The following is a 24,212-nucleotide window of genomic DNA, read 5'->3' as shown; positions in this document are numbered from 1 at the left end:
ACTATTAAAAACTTGGAAGATTCTCCTAAGCTAGAATTTTTAACTCAGTTAAAAAATTATTTAACACGTATCAGAGGTTAATAAAAAGCACAGTGCAGTCAGAAGATCTAAACTCAGTTACACCACTTACTAGCAAAGCACTGTGCTATGGTCTGAATGTCCCCCAAAATTCATGTGCTGAAACTAAATCACCAATGTGATAGTATATTGACAGGGAGGCCCTAAGTGGGTGATTAATTGATTGAGGTAGAGCTCTCATAAATGGGATTAGCAACCTTATGAAGAGCTGGAGGGAATTAGCTAATCCCTTTTTGCCCTTCTGCCTTTGGACATGTGAGGACATGACATTCCTCTTTTCTGGGGGATGCAGCAACAAGATGCTATCTTGAGGTAAAGAGAGCAGCCTTCACAAGGCAACAAACTTGCCAGCTCCTTGATCTTGGACTTTCAGCCTCCAGTACTGTGAGAAGTACATTTCTGTTCTTTATAAATTACCCAGTCTCAGATATTTTGTTATAGCAGCAGGAATGAACTAAGACACATCTTTGTGAACCTACATCACAGAATTGAAATGAGAATTAAGTAACAAAGGAAGCTGCTTTATAAATAGGTTCAGTTATTGAAGATGGCATGGTATAAACCATCCATAAATTCATATTTAGATCTGGGGACAAATTATCAGGAATCTACAAATTCTCCACGCAAAGGTGTTTCACTCATTTAGATTTTAGTTTGTTTTTATGTTGATGTTAATCTTTTAAAAAGCTCATGTGATTATATTTGGGGTCATCTGAACATCCTCTTTATACCTGTTACACAACGTGTGTGTTCATGGTAGCATTAGTGCCAAATAATTCAAATTCACTTGTTTCCAAGCTACTGAAAACAGATGCAGGCAGACTTAATATGTAGCTTCCATATTCTTCCAAAAGAAAGACAAGCGACAATGGAAAAAAAATTGAACAAAGATTTGGTAATAGTTTGACTCCAGAAAACTAATGAGAACATTCAGTCATTACATGGCACACTGGATCACTGGTAGGCTGAAACTTAAAAAAAAAAAAAAAAGAAAACCTGCCAGTTAGCACTAAGTGTCGTGATTTAACAGTGTTCATCCTTGTCAATTAATAAGACCATTTGTATTGGTTTTGTATATATTTATTGCAATTGTTTTAAATAGTCATATGAAAACTGTAAGCTTATGTTTACACCTAGATTCGTATTTCTATATATTTAGATGTTACAAAATTAACACATATTAACTTAAAAATAATAAGCTGATACTTGAGTGTGGCCAGTGAGATCAGAACTCAGAAAAAACACAACTCAGGTTGTCTTCTCTCTGTACTTTGCTGTCTGACTCTGGGCATTGTCAAATGACCTCACCTCCCCTATTTCTTCACAGCAAACTAAGAATAATAATCTCATTCACATGGGACCATTGTGAGGAGTACGGGAAATAATGAATATAACTGTGAAATAATGCTTTGTCAGGTATACTGTGTTTTGGACGATAAGATATCTGAATCAAGAGTTTGTACTTCCAGTCTACATTTTGATGCCACGTTGGGCAAATCTCCTTACCTCTATGGTAGTCATCACTATTTTTTAAAGCTAGGAGATTATCTCAGTTCCTTTTAAAACAGCTTTTATAGAAGGTGGTTGAGTTTTCCACTGGAATTTCAAAGTACTCCTCATTTTTATATCCATACCCATAGTTGTTTCGTTTTCCATTAGCTTTTTTAAAAACTTACTAATTGAGGAACAGAAACTTTAAAATTCATTTGTGATCAACGCAGCAATGTCCAAACATAAGCAGGGTTAAAACAGCAAAATTCTCCCACCTATCAGAGAAACTTTAATTTTTTTTTTTTTTTGCTTCGTTGTTTTTATCTCGTATAACGGAAAGACAGAACTCATATTTCAGTCTTCTCTCTGTTCTTAGCTGTAATCCTAGCAAATCGAATGACCTCTTTACACTGGCCAATTATTCATCTGCCAAATAATAACAGCCACCACTGATCACGTGGGAGCTTACCCAATGCCATGCGTGCACTATGTTCTGAACGTGCACACCAGGCGATCTCTCTCATTTAGTGCTCACAATTTTGAGGTAGACATTAGCTCCATTTAACTGATGAAAAAACTGAGGCTGAACGAAGTTAAAAACCCATCATGCAGCATCTGCAGAGCGGCGGTTCTAAAAACGCCTCACAGTAAGAAAGAATTGCTAACAAACAGTAGCTTTGCCTCTAAGCACCCGCTTTTCCTCTAATATTCACAGACAGGTATTTAGAACGTTAAAGAGCCGGAAGCCCTTGGGAACTTCAGGGCGGGAGTAAACCGGCTGCACCTCTCAGAGCAACTCCTCCGAAAAACCCCACCCTGTCCAGGCCCCGCCTCGTCCCGCCCTCCTGGGCGCTCTCCCCATAGCCCGCCCAGGAGAAGCCTAGTCCACCCGGCTCTCCCCCGGCTCTCACAGGCGGAAGCCGCCGACCACCCAGCCTGCCCTTCTCGCGGCAGGACTTAGCGCATGCGCTCTCAGCACGCCGGGAATTTCCTGTCCGCGGTCATCGCTTCCGGTGGGATAGGTCTGACCAATGGGGCTGACTCCGAGGCGGGCCTTAGGTCTCGCAGGTTCCTCCCCTGCGCGTTTCTTTCGGAGCGGCGGTGAAGGTCCTGGGTGAGGTAGGGTTGGATGGTGCTTGCCGCGTATCATGGCTGCCTCCGGAAAACTCAGCACTTGCCGTCTCCCTCCGTTGCCCACGATTCGAGAAATCATTAAGTTGTTAAGACTGCAAGCAGCGAAGCAGCTATCACAGAATTTCCTCCTGGACTTGAGGCTGACAGGTGGATGGCTTAGCAGTGCTCCCCGGATGTCTCCCCAGTGTCCGTGGGGGCGTGGGCCGGGGGGTCTTGCACGTCCCCGCGGGCGGGTGTCCAGGCACTGGCGTGCGACGGGCTTTTGGTCAGGTCCTTCGACCTCTTTGTATCAGAACTCCGGTCCCACCGCCCAGGAGACACGTGAAGTGCGTTGATTGCTCACAAAACTCCGCGTTCGGGGGGGTGTAGCCTGCCGGCAGGCTGCATAAATGCCAAGCTCCCTAGGGGAGGAAGGGTTCATGGGTCGTGAAAGGCGCTAGTGAATATTGGAATCTGGGTCACTGTGAAATCAATCATTCTGAAATAGTACAGCACATGCTGACTGCAGTTGCTTTACATGCAGTTTAAAGTTACCAGAATTTAAATTGATGCGAGGATTTTATCAATAACTTGGTGAAAAGAGTATCCCTCGTATGATTCGTTTTTTAAACGTTTACCTGTTCAGTCTAAGCCTCGGGGGCGCTAATATTCATTCATAAGTACATATTACACAAGCAACATTGTGCTAGTGCCGGGGGTAGGATATGGGCGTGAACAAGGCGGTGTTTCCTCGAGGAGCTTACTTTTAGCAAGTTTACATTCCCACACCTAATTGTTTAAAGTTACTTTTTATGAGATATAATTTATGTGCAATAAAATTAATAAGTTTGAAGTGCTCAATTTGATGAGTTTTGACGAATGTATTTATATATTGGTTTAACCACCATCACCATTGCTTAGTGATGTTCTATGAGATGAGGTTGCAAAAATATATTACAAATACGTCTACTAAGTCACGGCTGGAGTACTTAGGTTTTGAGATTTTCATATTTCATTCTATTTAGTCCCACTTCAGAAGTTGAAAAGAGCAGTAAATCACACCCAAAAAGTTCATTTTCACTTAAATGAAGCACACTCCAGAAAACATAAAATGTTTTATTTCTTGGACATGTAGTCTTTATTCTGCCTGTACCAATATGACTTTGGATAAAATAATTTAACTCAAGTTTTCTCTTTTTTTTTTTTTTCTTTTTTTAAGATGGAGTTTCACTCTTGTTGCCCAAGCTGGAGTGCAATGGCATGATCTCAGCTCACTGCAACCTCCGCCTCCCCGGTTCAAGTGATTCTCGTGCCTCAGCCTCCCAGGTAGCTAGGATTACAGGCGTGAGCCACCGTGCCTAGCTAATTTTGTGTTTTTAGTAAAGACAGGGTTTCACTATGTTGCTCAGGCTGGTCTCAAACTCCTGATCTCAAGTGATCCACTCGCCTCGGCCTTCCAAAGTGTTGGGATTACAGGTGTGAGCCACCATGTCCAGTAGTTTCCTCATCTTTTAATTGGAAGAAGGGCCTACTACTTTAAAAGATTGCCCACTCTAAAATTCTTTGGTTCTAGTAATAGCTAGTACCAGCCTTTTCTGCTTGTTATTAGCCACATTCTAAATATAAATCACCATTCTCAGGGCAGAAGTTATAGGTCTGTGTATTTTTTAAAATCCTTCAAATACATTTTCTCATGAGCCTTTATCTTCAGGAGTAAGTTTCAAATTCTAGATATTATCCACTCTTTCTATGGGAACCAGAGTTAACGGAGATGAGGGTACTTAGCTGAGGTTAGAAGCTCAGGCAGAAGAGAGCAAGATTGAAATCCAAGCTCATTGATTTGATAGCGCTTCTTTAATATTCATTTGTATTTCAATGTGCCTGAAAAGTTTGAGAGCAGAGACCTGCCTACTGTTGTAGCTCTCCATTTTAAAGAAGGAGAGTATTAAATTTATTCCATAATGTATCATTCCTGTTCCCTCTGAGAGGCATTGGCTTTAGGATTTATACCTATGTTGAAGTCCATGACCTTGTACAAATAAAACAATAGACAAGGAAACTGAAAAGTTAAGAGAAATGAAATTGGGATAGGAGTCCTTGGTTAACATGTAAGGATTAGGTGAGAATGTGTGTAAATCCATCATAATAGATAAGATGGTCAGTGGATGCTAATTCCCTCCCTGTTAAAAGACTAAACCATTTTTGGATGGCTGAGAAACTAGTTTCCGCATTTTAGCTGACAAAGTTATGTTGTTGAAAACAAGCAAAAATAGGACTGTGAACACCTACAAGAAGTGCTGGTATGTTTTTAGTGACTAAATTTCCACTATCCTAGGAAGACCAGTTCCTTGGATTTCCATATCTCAGAATCACTAAGACCAGCCCATTGCATGTTTTTCCAGATGTGATGACTGGTTGCACAGAGTCAGTACTCTACCTTTTTATGATGTCTTAAGGGCTGCTAACTTGAATTTGATTAATTAAAAAATTAATTTTTCTGTATTAACATGCATGTGTGCAAAGCTTTAAAAACCCTCAACTGCTCAATTTAACTTTTTCCTGAAAATGACTAAGAATTCAAATTTCTGAAAATCTTACGATCTAAGAACTTATTGCCATTGCCATAGTGACCACCACCAAGATGTCTCTAGATAAAAATAAGACTTCAGCACTTTTTGCTTTTGGATTTCACTAGCAATACTGAAGATTCTGAATGTGAAACTAGTATTGCTTATTCAGATATTCAATGTTCAATAACTATAGAAAAGTGCTGCATTCTTATCCAGTCTGTTCTTAGGAGTCGGTTGGTTTCAAATCAGTTTGAAAGGAATTTGCATGGGACAGATGGAAACTACAATATTAGCTAAATTTAAGCTAAGAAACTTTGTCATGATAATCCTGTGTGTGTTAAGGGACTGGTACAGTTCAATGGTGATGTGGTAGCATATTCGATTGCCACTTCATGTTAATTTAGGTAGAGAGTTAAATAGTCAAATAAATATTATACATAAAGGATCAATTGATTGGGTAATGGCTGAATTTTTATAGAAGATTTTTCTCTCTAAATTTCATACGTTGAAATTTGCCAAGTTAATTGAGATAACTAAAACTCTTTTTCCTCTAGATAAGATTGTAAGGAAAGCTGGCAATCTGACAAATGCTTATGTTTACGAAGTGGGCCCTGGGCCAGGGGGAATCACAAGATCTATTCTTAATGCCGACGTCGCTGAACTTCTGGTGGTTGAAAAGGACACTCGATTTATTCCTGGATTACAGGTGAGATGCTTAAAGTGTCTGCTTTAGGAGGCAAAAGCTGAATTTAAATCTTTATGCCATGATGCTTAAACCCCAAGGTATCCAAAGATTATGTAGGTTTTTCCTCAACTATAGATCCCCAAGGCCCCATTCCAGAGATTTTGATTCCATAGTCTGGAGAAATCTGGAAATCTCCATTTTTAACAAGCACTCTCAGAGGGTCTATTGACTACACCTTGAAAAAAACCTGCTTTAAGCATTTATGCTAAACAAATTAATTGTTTTGTGTGATTTTTTTTTTTAAGTCTGCTAATAGCTATGCATGTCGTGGCCCATTCCTTCAAAAATAAATAAAAATAAATAATGGCCAGTAATGACTCATTGGTATGACTTTTGAGAACTTCATTTAGGTTCAAAAAGCATTTCCACAAACAAAAGATGAGTAAGACATATGCACGTTTGTCATCATGAGAGACTAATTATGAAGCTTAAGCATTCTTTTATAAGGTAAATTTTTTAAGTGAAGGAAGGAAGTTGTACTTTTATAGATTTAGGATGAGGTTTAAATGAAATGATACATGCATCTTTAAAATACAGGCACTGTTATTGTATAAGAAATGAGAGTTGAAGGAACTGGGCATGTTTCAACTGGAGAAAAGAGGCCCTGGGTAAGAGTGTATATAGCAGCACATCCAAGGTTGGGGGTACATAGGATAAGCTTGTTTTGATCTTTTCTAAGAAAGAGCTAAAACAAATAGATGGAAATTGAGGGAGGCAGGATTGAGGATTTGAAATAAGGAGGAACTTACTTTTTTTAAAACGCTGGCAAACAGTGAAATAGATTGTATCAGGGATCTTGTAAAGGGATTTCCTCATAGGGGAACACTTAATGTCTTAAAGGCCTTTGATTCCTCCATAATTCTAAAATTTTAAAAGAGTCCTGAACCTTTGGCTCAGATGAGAAGCAATTTATCATGTGACTATAATAGAATAATGTAGTTATCTACGTTATTACTTCCATACAAAAGGACAAATTGATTTTAAACGAGTATATTCTCATACTAACTTGTATATATATTAATGGAAAAATGTTAATTTCTGTCAGAACGGTTTGAGAAGTTGTTTTTGAAAACCTAGAACTTTGTGTGCATGTATCTGATTTTTTTAAGAAACCTAGCAGTTTTTCCCTAATCTTGCTTTATCTAGTTTTTATGCTTTAAAAAATTACATAATATTTCCTTTTATCTAGTTTTACCAGTCTATACTAACAGAATTGGTTTCAGATACTAAACTTTATGTTGAGATAGTCACATGGCACATATTCCTTGATCAAATGTGGAATTTAATAGTGATTTTTGTTTTGAACTGTGTTCTTATTTTAAGAATTATATATAAGTTGGAGGTGGACGTGGGAATATTATTATTTTTGGTGAGATCATGAGATTATAAAAAGAAACTAAATAACTGTATAATCCCCTTCGGGCTTATTCGTGTAGCCCTTTTTGGACATAGGGAATACTCACCTGACTTTTTTGCTCTTAAAAAGACTTCTTGTCCCTCATATCTCACCATTCGTTGGGTTTATTCTTTCTTATTAGGCCAGGGGGTGAACCAGATTTCCATTCATTCCCACATATTCCCCTCTTTGATATGAACAAAAGATCTTTGAAGGCAGATTGTTGAAAAGAGCGACTGCCACCCTTCTCTTCTCAGTTTCCCCCAAACCCATAAGTCACTGCGTTCCTAATTCCAGCCTTGTTTTATCTCATTCGATTTATCATCATCTGACATACTGTATATATGTTCTTCCCATTTGTTTGTTAATTGACTCACCTGTCTGGAATGTAAGTACCATGAGGGTAGAAATGTGTGTCTGTTTTGTTCCCTGCTGTACCTCTATCTCACGTAACAGTGCCTAGCACATAGCAGGTGTTCAGTAAATGTCTCACATGAGAAACAAAAAAGTTGACCACTATTTCTGCATCTGTGTATATATATACACAAATGTATATGTATCTCTCATATTAATTAAATGTATCATTAAATAGTGAAAGTAAATATTTGTGTAGCATTGATAATGAAAAAGTTTTATGCTCTTTTTTCTAAATGTGAAGGCTGATTTCAAGTTAAATTACTCTAGAGGAAATGTATATTTGACTTCTCATTTGTTTTTAGTAGAAACAAAATTAATTCTTAGTATCTTATATGCAGGAAAGGAATTTGCCTTAAAAAGAAATGTTGGGTACTAAAATATCAAATAGGCCTTTTTTTCCCCAGTGAGGAATGTTTCAATATGTAAAACTACTTTGTTTTAGAGGTACTAAATTAATCATAAAACTGAGTAAAAGCAGAAAGAAGGTGATCTATTTTAAGGATACCATTTTAGTGATTTCTAAGCTAATAGAATTACTTTTTAAAGAAATTGTAATAATTTATAAAATACCTTCTAGCTGAAAGCCTGTCATTTGTAGCTTAATTCAATTCCTACAGTATTTTCATGAGGCAGTTTAGGGGAAAGAAAAACTGGTGCTAACATACAGGATTCATGCTCAGCATGTTATAAAGGTAAGAAAAACATGTCTAGTATGTTTAGTATAGTATAGTTTTGTGGTAAAGACGCAGACTTCAGCATCAGACTGCCTGGGTTTAACTTCAGATTCTACTACTAGTTGGGTGACTTTGGGTAGGTAATTTTGTCCTCTGTGCCTCAGTTTGCTCTTAGGACTCATATGAGGATTCAGTGTATGCCTGATACTTAGAAAGCACTGAATAATATCTTAGTTATAAGTAATCAGTTAAATTATTATCCCCATGCCTTGATTACCTCTGGTGATTAATGACTGATCAGGAGACTGCTGATCTGGAAAGAGGTATAGGAGGAAGTCGTGTTATTCCATTGGAGCACTAGAAAATTCTCCAGTGCTATGGAAACATTGGGGTGTTTTCCAACTCATCAAACTTGCATTGGACACCTAGGGTTTCTTTTCTTGATGTTGTCACATTCTGATTGTGCATTTCTAGGTTTTTAAGTTTTTCGTTGTTTCTTGTTACATTTTTATGACTGACTGGATTCTCTGTGCTGTGGAGAGGAGTGAGGAGATTTCCTGAATCTCAAGGAGCTTGAGGCCTTGATAGGTTTTTCCTCTTTCTGAACTGGAAATAACTTAGATTTCCTGACATCTCAGGGAATTTGAAGCTTTGATAGGTTCTTCTCCATTTGTGAACTGGAGATAAATTCGTAAATCACTCGTACCCTTTCAGAGAAGTAGTACAGATTTCCTCTCATTTTTTTTTTTTTTCTGTTTATTTTAGAGCAAACCTGTGCAACACACGGCCCACGGGCTGCCTGCGGCCCAACACAAATTCTTAAACTTTCTTAAAACATTATGAAATTTGTTTTGCATTTTTTTTAAGCTCATCTGCTATCGTTAGTGTATTTTATGTGTGGCCCAGGACAGTTCTTCTTCCAGTGTGGCCGAGGGAAGCCAAAAGATTGCAATTGCACAGCACTGTTTTAAAGGCTTCATATATTAAAAATAATAATAGCTAATATTTATGGAGAGTTTATCACAGTAAATACTTTGTGATATGGTTTGGCTCTGTGTCCTCACCCAAATCTCCTCTTGTAGCTCCCGTAATTCCCATGTGTTGTGGGAGGGACTCAGTGGGAGATGATTGAATCATGGGGGTGGGTCTTTCCTGTGCTGTTCTCATGATAGTGGATGGGTCTCACAAGATCTGATGGTTTTAAAAATGGGAGTTTACCTGCACAAGCTCTCTCTTTGCCTGTTGCCATCCACGTAGGATGTGACTTGCTCCTACTTGCCTTCCGTCATGATTGTGAGGCCTCCCCCAGCCATGTGGAACTGTGAGTCTAAACCTCTTTTGTAAATTGCCCAGTCTCGGGAATGTCTTTATGAGCAGCAGCATGAAAACGAGCTAATACACTTTGTTTTACAGCTTTGTTGAGATACAGTTGATGCTCAGTAAACTGCACATACTTAAAGTGTACAAATTACTGAGGATTTGTCTGTGTGTATATGTGTGTGTGTGTGTGTGTGTGTGTGTGTGTATGTGTTTGAGACATGGTCTCACTCTGTCACCCAGGCTGGAGTGCAGTGACACAAGCACAACTCAACAGCTCACTGCAGCCTTGACCTCCTGGGCTCAAGCAATCCTCCCACTTCAGCCTCTTGAGTAGGTGGAACTACAGGTGCACACCACCATGCCTGGCTGAGTTTTGTATTTTTTTGTAGAAATGGGATTTCACCATTTCTACATGGTGGTCTCAAACTCCCGGGCTTAAGCAATCTGCCCACCTCAGTCTCCCAAGATGCTGGGATTACAGGCAAGAGCCACCGCGTCCAGTTAACTGAGTTTTGACATATATGTGATTGCATGAAACCATTATCACAATCAAGAAAATAAACACTCATCGTCCTCAGGATTCCTCATGTTTCTTTGTAATCTGTCCCTTCCTTCCCCCTTTATCTATCTCAGACAACCACTAATCTGCTGTCACTGTAGATTATTTTTTATTTTTCAGAATTTTATATAAATGGAATCATACAATATGTACTTTTTTTTTGGTCTGGTATCTTTTACTTAGCATAATTATTTTGCAGTTCATCCATGTTGAGGTGTTTATCAGTAGTTTGCTCCTTTTTATTGCTGAATAGCATTCCATTTTCTGAATATACCAAATTTGTGAATCTATTCACCTGTTGATAGACTTTGGGTTTTTCCCTTTTTTGGCTCTTATACTGTAATAAAGCTTTTATGAACATTCATATGCAAGTGTTTGTGTGGATACACACTTCCATTTCTCTTGAGTAAAGACCTAGGAGTAGAATATCCGGGTCCTGTGTAGAATATCCGGGTCCTGTGGTAGACGTATATTATACTTTTTACAGAAATACCAAATTGTTTTATAAGATGACTGTGCCATATTACATTCCCACCAGCTGTATTTCAGAGCTCCCATTGCTCCACATGCTTGCTCAGACTTGGTATGGTCAGTCTTTTTAATTTTAGCCATCCTAGTGAATATGTAATGGTATCCTCTTGTGGTTTTTATTTGCATTTCCCTAATAGATAATAATACTGGACATACGATGTGCTTATTTGCCATCTTTGTATCTTCTTTGGGGAATTATTTGTTCAAATATTTTTAGTACTTTTACTTTTTTTGTCTTATTGAATTTTAAGAGATATTTATATGGTTCAGATGTGAGGCTTTGTCAGATACAGATTTTACAAATGTTTTCTCAGCTGTGGCTTACCTTTTTATTTTCTTAACAATGTCTTTGAAGAACAGAAGTTTCATGTTTATGAAGTGCAATTTATCAGTTTTTTCTTCTAGACTTTATGCTTTTTATGTCTTATTTTTAAAATATTTGCCAAACCAAGATCACTAAAAATTTGTTTTATTTATATATAATTTAATATATATTTATATATATAAATATATAATTTAATATATATATAAATATATAATTTAATATATATTTATATATAAATATATAATTTAATATATATTTATATATATAAATATATAATTTAATATATATTTATATATATAAATATATAATTTAATATATATATATTTATATATAAATATATAATTTAATATATATATAAATATATAATTTAATATATATTTATATATATAAATATATAATTTAATATATATATAAATATATAATTTAATATATATTTATATATATAATTTAATATATATTTATATATATAAATATATAATTTAATATATATTTATATATATAAATATATAATTTAATAATATATTTATATATATAAATATACAATTTAATATATATTTATATATATAAATATACAATTTAATATATATTTATATATATAAATATATAATTTAATATATGTTTATATATATAAATATATAATTTAATATATATATATAAATATATAATTTAATATATATATAAATATATAATTTAATATATATATATAAATATATAATTTAATATATATATAAATATATAATTTAATATATATATAAATATATAATTTAATATATATTTATATATATAAATATATAATTATGTATATATATAAATATATAATATATAAATAATATAAAATTATTTTATAATTTTAGCTTTTACATTTAGGTCTTTGATACATTTTGAGCTAATTCTTGCATATAGTGTGAGGTAAGGTTTAGGTTCTTTTTTTAACACCATTTTTTGAAAATACTGTCTTTTCCTCATTGAATTGCCTTAGTACTATTGTCAAAAATCAGTTGGTTTTATGTGTGTCGGTTTATTTCTGAACTTCCAATTCTGTTCTATTTATCTATAGGTCTATTGTTTCACCAACAGCCACCTGTATTTATTACTATAGACTGAAGACTGAAAAAGCCTTCATTTTTGCCTTCATTTTTGGAAAATATTGTGGCAGTATTTTGTTTTATTACTCTAAAAAAGTTGCTCCGCCATTTTCTCACTTGCATTGTTTCTGACAAACTTTTTGCATTGCAAAAAGTTTCTGACAAATCTTTTTTCATCCTTACCTTTGTTCTTTTTTCTCTGGCTGCTTTTGATACTTTCTACTGTTTTTGAGCAATTTCATCATGATGTGCTTACAGTAGCTTTGTTCGTGTTTCTTGTGTGTAGAATTCATTGAGCTTCTTGGATCTGTAGGTTTTCCTGTGCTTTTTGTTGTCTAATGTCTGAAAATTTTGTTTCATCTATTTTCTCTGTTTTTTAAATTGGTTTAAGGTAGGAGAATATGCCTGGTCCCTTAGACTCCATCTTTGTCGGAGTAGGAAGTTTCAGGATTCTTCTTAACCATTAAATTATGTGGTTGTTTTGAGGAATTTTTGGAGAGAGAAAGTAAGTCATTGTATTGTTAGTATTGCCTTTGGTTTTTTGTTTGTTTGTTTTTTGAGACAAGAGTTTCGCTCCTGGTGCCCAGGCTGGAGTGCAGTGGCGTGATCTCGGCTCACTGCAAGCTCCACCTCCCAGGCTCAAGCGATTCTCCTGCCTCAGCCTGACGAGTAGCTGGAATTACAGGCGCCCGCTACCATGCCCAGCTAATTTTTTGTATTTTTAATAGAGACTGGGTTTCATCATGTTGTCCAGGCTGGTCTCGAACTCCTGAACTCAGGTGATTCACCTGCCTTGGCCTCCTAACCTTTGGGTTTTCTTATAGGTAAACACTGGTTATTTCCATACTTCATTGGCATAGTGGAAAGTTCATGGGATTGAGCATCAAATAGTCTAGTGACCAAATCTCAGATATGCCACCTACTAGCTTTGTGACCTTAAGCTTGCTGTTAAACCTTTTTTAGCTTCAACTTTCTCATCTGCAGCATGGGAATAATAGTTCTCTTCTGTGGATATTGCAAAGATGGATAGAAATGGATGTAAAGAGCCTGGCATAATCCCAGTAGCCAGTAATAGTTGCTATTTTAATTATTCCCCTTCCAGTCATCTTATTAAGAGACATATGAGGTAATTTCAGCGTCCAGGCAGAAAGAGCTATTTTTAGTTAGAGATAATGAAGTTTTGAAATTCTTTAATCTCTAACAATTTTTTTAAAAAGGAAGATTGCCTTCCTTGCTATTGTGACGTAACTATTTACTTTACACATGTAACTTACTTGATGTTACCATAGTTAATCATAACATAGACAAAACTCAACAAGTAAGCAAAAAGTGGCTTACAGCCAAAGTGACTTTTTAGTCCATACAAAGTATAAGTACGGAGATCAGTGGTAGAAGCAGGCCCACTGACAACTGTAAGAAGTAACAGTTGTTACAGTAACAGAAAGCTATAAAAGACAAATATAAACGCAGAAGAAACAATAATAATAATAGGGTAGCAAAAACACCTTCGTAACTATTGAGGCCATTATTCTAAAGACAACAGTAACCCTAGGTCATCAAGAAAAGGGTGAAATTTGGTTTAGTGTTCTTGGCCTAAGGAAGAGGATTGTGCCATATAGCATCCCTATACATTGGCCTAAGGAAGAAGGTTGTGTCGTTGGCATACCTGTACGTTGTGTACAATGTATAATGATAAAATTAGGATAATTAGCATATCCACCTCGAACATTTATCATTTATTTGTGGTAAGAACACACAATTATTATGTGTCAATTAAAAATAAAACAAACAAATAGAATAAAATCTGATATGGTTTGGCTATGTCCCTACTCAAATCTCATCAGTGAGCTCTCACGAGATCTGATGGTTTTATAAGGGGCATTTCTCCCTTTTGCTTGGCACTTTTCCTTGCTGCCACCATATGAAGAAGGACGTGTTTACTTCCCCTTCCACCATGACTGTAAGTTTCCTGAGGCCTCCCCAGCCATGCTGAACTGTGAGTCAATTAAACATCTCTCCTTTATAAATTACCCAGTCTCAGGTATGTCTTTATTAGCAGCATGAGAACGGACTAATACAAATCTAATGTCAAATTTAAAAAAGAGAGTGAAAGATTTGATAATGACATTGAAATATCCAACAAACTTAAAATTCCTATAAAAATAATTTTAGATATTTGTAGTATCATTTAAGATACGAGTGGTTATGTGATTTCTGTTTGTTTTTGCTCTGTTCATAAATTTAAAATACTGAGAAAGTCTGAAAACGTACATTTTTAATACAATTCAAGTTATTTTACATACTAAAAAAAAATAAAGCAAGCTAATTGACATTTTGACATCATGCTGTAACCTTCCCTCTAAAAGTCTGAAAAGTCTGCTGTAACATCTTAATTTTTTAATGAATAAATAGCAGTAGTCTTTTATATGTGTTATATATAAGAATACAAATTTTATCTTTCACCTACTATATTTTATACTATAGATTCTTTCCTTCTCATACAGTTTGCTTAACAGTTTTGCCCAGCCCTGTTACAAATATTTATTTCAACAGCATTTGGGCCCTACTATGTGGCAAATCAGGAAGAAGATAATTAACGTAACTACAGTGTTGGCTGCCATGAACCCCTTACATGAGAAGGTGACATAAAATATGCAAAATGGGTATTCAATGTAGTATTTCTTCTTAAGGAATCGATAATTTTGTGTAAGTTCTAAGAATTGCCTAAATTCTTTCCTCATCCAGTAAAATCAACAAAAAGCTGCCTAGCCAAACCACAATTACTTGCCCCCTGCAGAGGAGCTTTCACTAAGACTTTGGTTAGAGAAGAGATTTTTTTTTAAATGGCCACAGAAAGAATGCTTCTACATTTGTGTTTTAACTTGTATTAAAGGCATTGTTTATTACATTGTTTCATGTACCCTTTACAAAGCATAATACCAGGGAAAAAAAAATTATCTCTTGGAGTCTTGGTACAACTACTATTGAAAAGCAAAAATTATATATTTCATTATGTAAATCACGAGAGCTAGCTGTCATGATTGTTAGGATTGTTAGCTCTTGTGTTTTACATATATGCTTCCCCTCTTCATGGTTTGATTTTCGGTTTCTTCTTTTATAGCCTTATGTAATGATGCCTTTTACTCTAAACTGGCATACATCTCATTTTGGAAGAATATAGAATTGAACACTAAAATAAAAATGAAAGAAGAGTTTGAGAGTGTCTGTAAAAATACTCATTTGGCTGTAATCTGGTGCCTGCATTTGTGATTGGCTGTGCCTTTAAGCACATTCTGTGAAAACACCTCCAGGGTTTTGAAGTGTAATGCTCCATTGTTATTCTCGAATGCATATAATAGTGATTTTCCCACCCCCTCCACCATACCCCATGTATCATTATGGTAGTGAAAACATTTCTGCTACTGGTTGGCTAGAAGGTCTTCATGTGTTATTGCCTAATATCATTTGAAGTGTTTAAAAGGGTACTGTCTATAATCATAATATCAATTTAGTCTGTCTAGCACTGTTTCCCCATAATTGCTTTAAGGACTTCACATAAATCTGTTAACATGAGCGTTCATTCCTTCTGCAGTGGGGAGTTGCAAAGTAGATCAAGCTACAAATTGTCAAGAAGGAGGTGTACCTTTTAAAGTGTGGGGAGGATTTGGTTTGTCATTGACTGAGATTGAAAAGTGAATGGGAATCCAAAAGAAATGTAGTTTTAAACCTAGGAAAGGAGCTGGGTATGGTGGCTCACACCTGTAATCCCAGCACTTTGGGAGGCCAAGGCGGGCAGATCACTTGAGGTCAGGTGTTAGAGACCAGCCTGGGCAACATGGTGAAACCTCGTCTCTACTAAAAATACAAAAATTAGCCAGGTGTGGTAGTGCACACCTGTAATCCCAGCTCTTAGGGAAGCTGAGGCAAGAGAATTGCCTGAATCCCAGGAGCAGAGGTTGCAGTGAGCCAAGATTGCACCACTGCACTCCAGCCTGGGCAACAGAGCGAGACTCCATCTCAAAAAACAAACAAAAAACAAAAACAAAAAAGAAAACCCAGGAAAGGAAGGTAAATTTATTTATATTATATTAGCTTTTAGATATACAGTTGTACCTGTCAGGGTGGGAAAAGTTAACACTTCAAATTAAGTTAACGTCAAACAGCCAAATTTACATTGTTCTGTTGTGTTTTAGTCCTAACTACTAATTATTAAATACTTTCTATATATTGACATCATGAGACTTAAGCTATTAGTTCTGCCTCTTTGTTTTTGGCGTGCTAATTTGTTTTAACTTTGTGAACATAATTATAGAAAAAATTTTAGCGTTTTCCATTGATGATAAGTACTGTGATTAAATATGTGGTTTTATACATTAAGAGCATGCCGCATAGAGAGCTGTCTCTTTTTAAATTTTTAGTATATTGAAATCGTTATATTTTCCAAGATTTATTGCCTGGAACTCACCAGATCAAGTTTTACTAACTAGTGGTAATTTAAAATAATCTATAAGTACATTAGTATCAGAGGCATGCAATTATTTTTGCTAAACTACCATGGCTAAACATATCAAACTAGATGATTTCCAGACTTAAAAGTATGTTTAGCCTCTTACCAATAGAGGCGTTTCAGCTATTTATTTCTGGAAGATTATTTGTATAAATCTGCCTGATTGACTTGTGAAGTAAATCTTTGCAAGTTTCTAGACCCTACAAATTTGGGAAGCCAACATCTCCCAGGCTAAAAGAGAAAGTTTCCAGCTTTACAGAGACCTGAATGCCATTTGGTCATTCACTTATTCATGCACTTCTTAAATATGTATTAAACACTCACCATGCATTGCTGTAGCTACAGGGGCTATAAAGGTAGATAGGAAATGGGTCCTGCCCTTAAGGAGCATATGTCCTTGCAGGGGAAATTGAGATACAGTTTGTAAGTGCTGTAAAGAGGCAGACGCACAGTACAGTGTTGACACAAAGGTGGACTAATCCACAAGCCATGTTTCTTGGTCCAGTGTCTCCTCTCTGGCTTCTGTGATCATCTTGTTTATCCTCCCTCTTGGTTGTATGAGTTGGGCAAGGAGAGGTGTTAGGAGAAAAAAAATCAGCTTTAATGGACCTAGAGAATTAGGACCAAGGTAGGCTCAGGGCAAATGTTCCCTTTGAGCCTGTTCACCATCCCTATAAAGTGCTGGGCACATTCTAGAATCTTGGCAACTGAGTTGAAGCCAAGGTTCTCCGAGCTCTGACTTAATGTGGGAAGAGAGTCACTTCTTCCCTTGAAATCTACCTTAGCAGTGATGTTTCTTCTCGTTGATACATTCACTCCTGCCTTTTAAGTAAATTTATAAGCTCAGAGACTTTTTTAATATTTAACTAAGGACTTCAAGAATCAGTTTTGTGTTGGGCATGGGGCACTTAACACAATATGAATTTATAGATAACTTAGCTATAAAGTTTTTTGAATTAAGTGCCAACTCTTCAGTACTGTGAGAGTGTGGTGGTAGAGTAGGTGGAATGAAGAAGAAAAAGACTACAAGGGAAAAAGTGCTTTTTTTCCCCTTTTTGCTCACAAAGAGAAGGAAAAGGAAAGAAAGCAAATGATTAGTACGTGGAAATAGGTTGGGAAGTAGCTATTGTTAAACATCCAGGGTAATTCATTAGGTCGATAAGGGGTATGGATCAACAAATATTAAGATTAGGGATGCTCTGGTCAGAGGAGTATCTCGGAGTGCCAAGTGGAGACTGGCATCGACAGGTGACTTTCTACTTGGCTAAATCTACGCATATATTAAGTTAAAGATCTTGATGATATATAGAATCCTTTGTATATATATTTAGGCTATAAAGATTTAGTTAAATTAAGCTTATCTTTCATATGGTTGACTCCTGATTAATTCTCTGTATTTCATGATAATGTCCTTAGTCTCTAATTTAAAAACTTATTGATAGGAGTGAGTTTATTGCTAAATCTATATAGAAATAGAAGTCATCCTGAAGGTCAAAATTACACTAATATATTTGTAAAATTGTAAGCTAGTGTTGTACTGTCTGTTACTATCCCTAATCATTCATAGGTGTTAAAATGAAACGCCACCATTGTCTGTTGCAATAGACGTGATGCAGTATTTGTTCATTAATGATCACCCCTGGTCTCTGACTTTTTTAACTGATTTTTTAAATGCACAGGTTTAAAAAGTTTAGTTTTGTTACTCGCATAAGTATATGAGCTCATTTTACTGATCTTTTTATAAACTAGATGCTTTCTGATGCAGCACCTGGGAAACTGAGAATTGTTCATGGAGATGTCTTGACATTTAAGGTAGAAAAGGCTTTTTCAGAAAGTCTTAAAAGACCCTGGGAAGATGGTGAGTGCTTTTGGGTAGTTATAAAACATTTCTTTTATGATTATTTATATCACAAATGTTCATTTTATGATACATTTATTACAAATGTCTTATATGTTTATATTTTAAATTATCTGAACAGAATTAAATAATGTGTATTATAATTTTCTCTTGCTACTTGCTTCCAAATTATAAAATCTAGTTACTTTTTTTAGTTCTAATTCATTTGTCTCATTTCCAAATGTTTTGTATTCTGTGCAAATAAACTAACCATTTTTTGTGATACCATATAAGGATAGGGTAAACTATCAATTGTTATTTGTTCCAAATAGTGGAAAAAAAGAAGTGCTTTAGTAAACTAAGCCATGCCCAAGCCATTGTTTTAACTTTTTCTATTATTCTTCACATTCAATGACCAACCAAGGCAGTCTTCATTCACAGACAGTGTTTATTGGGTACCTGCTGTGTGCAGCCCTTCAGAATGCATAGATAAATAGGGTATGTTTCTTCCTATAACAGACTCTCAGAACAAACGGAGGAGGGCTTAGGTGCCTCCACATCTGGCTGCCCCCATGTCTCTGGCCTCCCCCATGACCAGACTCCTTCAGTTGGGCCGCACTTGCAGTCTCTGCCAGCTGACAGGCCCTCCTGTTCTTAGCATGCAGTCTTCAGGTTTCTGCCCCAGCCCAGCCACACTGGAACCACAATGCCTTCCTCATTACCTGTTTCAAACCTTATCTGACTGAGTTCTCCCAAATTCATTTAACTGTAATCCATAGTCTTCCGGAGGATTTCTCTTGCTCTTTTTCTCCCTGATACCAGCCCCTCCTGTTTTTCCTTTTACATTTGTGAACTTTTTCTAACTATTCTTAGCTGGTGGTTGTTTTTCTACCCACTTTGTACAGATTGTTGTTTCTGGGGTTTTTCTTTTTGGGCAAATTTGCCAGATTACTCCATTCCTATGGTTTCACTTACCACCTACGTATTGCAGACATTCACATCTTTATATGCTGCCTGTACCCCCTTCCTGGGCATCTGACCTCTGACAGCTTCATCTAGGTGTTCCATAGGCACTTTAACCTCATCATGTCCAAAATGAATTCTCTTTTTCCTCAAGCCAACTCTTTTTCCTGTATTTCCTAGGCCAGAAATTCAAGGACTTTTCTCTGAGTAACTGAGCAGTAATTAAGTATAATTTTTTCCTCAATAATCCAAAGCAGATTGTGAGAAAACATTGCTTTTGAATAATAAGTGAAAAAAAAAATTTAGCCATGTCTATTTATATATTTTTCTTTGATGCTATTAATATCCAGTCTGATTTTACTCGTCACTGAAATTGTATTCAGAATATATTGATGGAATCATTTCAGGTTGTTTTTTCCTCTGCCACCAGATCCTCCAAATGTACATATTATTGGAAATCTGCCTTTTAGTGTTTCAACTCCACTGATTATCAAGTGGCTTGAAAATATTTCCTGTAGAGATGGACCTTTTGTTTATGGCAGAACTCAGATGACTTTGACTTTTCAAAAGGAAGTGGCAGAGGTAAGTTTTAACATTTTGTGACTATTTTATCACATGTTCAAATTCCAAAGCAAAATAATAATACTGCATTTTTACCACAGTCTGTGTTTTCTAAGTTAATATCTTATTACACACACAAGAACCCAGCAGCAGCTCAGCCAAAAGTTAAAACTTTGATGATGATGACAGATGTAACTGCTGTGGGCTTCTGGGAAAACATGAATGATGTATGTTAGCCAAGGAGGTAGTGTGGTAAACACAGGGATGCAACAGCCATCGATGCCACTGGAGAAAGACAAAAGTGATGCCCTGTTGGCCATACCCAGGATTGGCACGTGATACCTTAAAATTGATCCTTTAGGCTTAATGGCATGGCAGTTAAAGAATATGATAATTGGCCGGGCATGGTGACTCATGCCTGTAATTCCAGCACTTTGGGAGGCCGAGGCAGGCGGATCACGAGGTCAGGAGTTTGAAACCAGCCTGGCCAACATGGTGAAACCCCGTCTCTACTAAAAATACAAAAAAAAAAAAAAAAAAAAAAAAATTAGCTGGGTGTGGTGGGGGGTGCCTGTAATCCCAGCTACTCAGGAGGCTGAGCCAGGAGAATTGCTTGAACCTGGGAGGCGGAGGTTGCAGTGAGCAAAGATCGTGCCACTGCACTCCAGCTTGGGTAACAGAGCAAGACTCTGTCTCGGCGGGGCATGCGGGAAGAATGTGATAATCAATTTGGAGCTGAGAAAGAGAAGGGGATTGAGGGTCTCATTATTCAGTATATAAATTGTACTTCCTCCCTCACCTCAGTGAAGTCTGCTATGCCTGCATTCCCATGGCAGAAGTGTTCTGGGTTCACTCTAGAAAGTAAACCCTCCAGGGTAAGCAGGGGTGGTGCTTGAGCTGCAAAGGTATAAGGACGGATGTGCAGACTCTTAAGTGGTTTTTTAAAAAAATTTTATTATGACATATAAGTACAAGAGTATACAGCCATCCCTTGGTATCCATAGGGGATTGATTCCAGAACCCCCACAAATACCAAAATCTACAAGTGCTCAAGTCCCTGATGTCAAACAGTGTAGTATTTGCATATAACCTGTGCATATCATCCCATATACTTTAAATCATCTCTACATTATTTGTAATACCTAAGACAGTATAAATGTTTTATAAATAGTTGTTACACTGTATTATTTGAGGAATAATGATAAGGGAAAAATCTGTACATGTTCAGTACAGATGCAACCATCCTTTTTTATTCCCTGAATATTTTTGATCTGGGATTGGTTGGATCCATGGATATGGAACCCACAGATACTGACGGATGACTGTATAATGTACATGGATGACTTAATAAAGGGCACTCCTGAATCCCCATGTACATGGATGACTTAATAAAGGGAACTCCTGAATCCCCACCCCCAACATGGGTAATTAAATCACTAGTACCTTTGAGACCCCATTGTATTCCTTACTCTGATTGCATCTCCTTTCCATCCCATGCTAGTAAGGTGATCACTACTGTGAATTTTGGATTTATTCCCTTGCATAGTCTTATCACACAGATTTATATTCCTATGATGAATACACTTTAGTTTTGTCCTTTTTTTTTTTTGGACAGAGTCTCACTCTGTCACCCAGGCTGGAGTGCAGTGGCACGATCTTGGCTCACTGCAAGCTCCGTCTCCCGGGTTCACGCCATTCTCCTGCCTCAGCCTCCCGAGTAGCTGGGACTACAGGCGCCCGCCACCACGCCCGGCTAATTTTTTGTATTTTTAGTAGAGACGGGGTTTCACCATGTTAGCCAGGATGGTCTCCATCTCCTGACCTCGTGATCCACCCGCCTCAGCCTCCCAAAGTGCTGGGATTACAGGCGTGAGCCACTGCGCCCAGCCCAGTTTTGTCCACTTTTGACAACTGGGTTTATATAATGTGTATTCATATAGTATGTATTGTTTTTATCCTGAACATTCTTTGTAGGATTCACTGACGTTGCTTATGACTGTAGTTTATTTAGGTAGCTATATATACTACCCACTATTTGACTGTGTAAGATCCTTATCTATTCATTCTCATGTTGGTGGACCATGAATTAGTTTCATCGTTCTGTTTTTACAAACAAAACTGTTGTAAACATCCCATACTGTGTCAGTTGGGGCACATGGGCAACATTTCTCTAGGGTATTTACCTGGGAGTGGAACTGCAAATCTTCACCACTGCATAGATAATGCTAAGTTGATCTCTGAAATCATCACGCCTGTTTATATTCCCACCAGCAGTGTGTATGAGTTCATTTTGCTCCATATTCTTGCCAGTACTCACTATTGCCAGACTTGTACATTTTTATTAATCTCAGGGTAATGGAATGTCATTGTGTTTTCTTTTGTCCTTGCTGGTTTGTAGCAAAATGGGGCACTATTGTGTGTTTACTGGCCTTTTTGAGTTCCTTGTTTTTAGTGCATGCTTTTTGCTCACCTTTCTTTTGGGTTGCTTATCTTTTTCCTACTGATCTGGAGGAGTTCTCACATACTCTTTAATACTCTTCATACTAGTCCTTAGTTAAATGTGTTGAGCATTTCTTCTACTCTATTGCATGTTGTTATTTTCTTTTTATGGTGTCTTTTGAAGAGCAAGCATTCTTAATTTTAAATTTATGTCTAGTGCTTTTTGTGTTTTGTTGAGGAAACACTTTTATCTTGAGTTCATGAAGATATTCTTCTGTTATCTTCTAGAAGCTTTATGTTTACCTTTCACATTTATATCTATAGTCCACTCGGGTTTGATCTCTGTGTATAGTGAAGTAGAAGCAATTTTACTATTTTTAACATATGGGTCCCAACTAACCTAGCTCCATTTACTCACAAGTCAGCCCTCGTTGATCCCTGTCAGCACCTCTGTCAGCATTGGTCTGGTTAGATACATCATATAAGCATTGGTCTGATTAGAAACATCAAGAAAAAAATGACATGAAATCCAGGAAGCAGAGGGCTCCCTACAGGACAGAGAGAAAGGAGTCCTCAGGAAGAACAACCAGTCCAGATTGGAGCCAATTAAAAGGGGAATTTGATAAAACTACTGTCAAGTTTGCATAGAGTCAAAAAAAAGTTGCAAAAACTCAGGAGAGTTTAAGATTGAATTCATGATAAATAAATAGAAAACTAAATATAACAGGGAGTGAATCAAGGGAAATATACCATTATTGGAATGAGAAGTACAAAAATATTATTTGGAGATAAATAATTATTTTGAAAACCTAAGAAAAAATGAGAGACATATATAAAAATAACTACAAAACCTAACTGAGAATCTCAAGGTCACTGAGATAAATCCAGAAAAATATCATAGCCCCAGAAGGAAAAATGATTATTTTAAAGAAGCTGATTTTTCCAAGAATTCTGTATATCTAATTATAATCCTCAAAGAACTTATCTTGAAATACGCAGTTCTAAGGATCATCTGGAGGAATAGACCTGCAACAATACATAAGAAATGTTGAAAAGGGAGAGTGATGAGAAAAGACTTCCTTGTCATATGCTAAAATGTATGGTGAAGCTTTAATAATTAAAGCAGTATGAGAAGCAGCACGTGACAGAGCAATTACTAGACTAGAAAGCCCGATGCAGACACCTTAGCAGTATCTGATAATGGTCAGATCAAAAATCAGCAGTGAAGGAAAGAATTAAGTAAATGCATGGATATTTGGTTAACTATTATGAAAAAAAATTATCTCTAAATTCCATTTGGGTCTTTGGATCTTCTCTTTCTGTCCTCATTACATTCATGCCTTCCTTGGCATTTTTCTATGTATGTATGTATGTATGATATTTAAAGTAGATGTTTTGGCCAGGCGTGCTGGCTCACACCTGTAATCTCAACACTTTGGGAGGCTAAGGTGGGAGGATTGCTTGAGCCCAGAGTTCGAGACCAGCCTGGGTAACATAGCTCCCTATGTTACCTTGTCTCTACAAAAAATAAATAAAAAATTAGCCAGGTCCGGTGCTGCATGCCTGTGGTCTCGACTACTCAGGAGGCTGAGGTGGGAGGA

At 36.6% G+C, this 24,212-nt stretch overlaps 1 protein-coding gene across 10 annotated transcripts in view, besides 5 other annotated features; it reads left to right on the top strand.

Annotated features, from left to right (window-relative positions):
- Positions 1,579–2,569: an enhancer, noted in NCBI's record as "NANOG-H3K27ac-H3K4me1 hESC enhancer chr6:155635711-155636701 (GRCh37/hg19 assembly coordinates)". NCBI's record gives its function as "activates a minimal SCP1, AML or CMV promoter by ChIP-STARR-seq in naive H9 embryonic stem cells {active_cell/tissue: H9 hESC(naive)}" and the evidence as "EXISTENCE:reporter gene assay evidence [ECO:0000049][PMID:30033119]".
- Positions 1,848–1,897: an enhancer, noted in NCBI's record as "active region_25307". NCBI's record gives its function as "activates an Ori minimal core promoter by ATAC-STARR-seq in GM12878 lymphoblastoid cells {active_cell/tissue: GM12878}" and the evidence as "EXISTENCE:reporter gene assay evidence [ECO:0000049][PMID:35858748]".
- Positions 2,318–2,397: a silencer, noted in NCBI's record as "silent region_17703". NCBI's record gives its function as "represses an Ori minimal core promoter by ATAC-STARR-seq in GM12878 lymphoblastoid cells {active_cell/tissue: GM12878}" and the evidence as "EXISTENCE:reporter gene assay evidence [ECO:0000049][PMID:35858748]".
- Positions 2,448–2,497: an enhancer, noted in NCBI's record as "active region_25306". NCBI's record gives its function as "activates an Ori minimal core promoter by ATAC-STARR-seq in GM12878 lymphoblastoid cells {active_cell/tissue: GM12878}" and the evidence as "EXISTENCE:reporter gene assay evidence [ECO:0000049][PMID:35858748]".
- Positions 2,568–2,887: an enhancer, noted in NCBI's record as "active region_25305". NCBI's record gives its function as "activates an Ori minimal core promoter by ATAC-STARR-seq in GM12878 lymphoblastoid cells {active_cell/tissue: GM12878}" and the evidence as "EXISTENCE:reporter gene assay evidence [ECO:0000049][PMID:35858748]".
- TFB1M (transcription factor B1, mitochondrial) overlaps positions 2,662–24,212 on the top strand; it is an 84,614-nt gene continuing 63,063 nt past the window's right edge. For 8 of the 10 annotated variants that reach the window (NR_146725.2, XR_007059269.1, XM_047418852.1 and 5 more), the window contains exons 1-4: positions 2,662–2,850; positions 5,807–5,958; positions 18,561–18,669; positions 20,042–20,193. Coding sequence is in view for 8 of the 10 variants with exons in the window: in XM_047418852.1 (XP_047274808.1) it covers positions 2,718–2,850; positions 5,807–5,958; positions 18,561–18,669; positions 20,042–20,193 (546 nt within the window). In the remaining 2 variants the exon portion in view is untranslated. Of the gene's footprint in view, positions 3,030–5,806; positions 5,959–16,569; positions 17,641–18,560; positions 18,670–20,041; positions 20,194–24,212 lie in introns of those variants that run through there. The other 2 variants (NM_001350502.2, XM_011535873.3) reach the window with 2 other exon arrangements.

Source organism: Homo sapiens, chromosome 6 (genome assembly GCF_000001405.40).
Source record: "Homo sapiens chromosome 6, GRCh38.p14 Primary Assembly".
Classification (NCBI taxonomy): domain Eukaryota; kingdom Metazoa; phylum Chordata; class Mammalia; order Primates; family Hominidae; genus Homo; species Homo sapiens.
The sequence above is the reverse complement of the archived record's forward strand: the minus strand, read 5'-3'. Positions and strand labels throughout refer to the sequence as shown.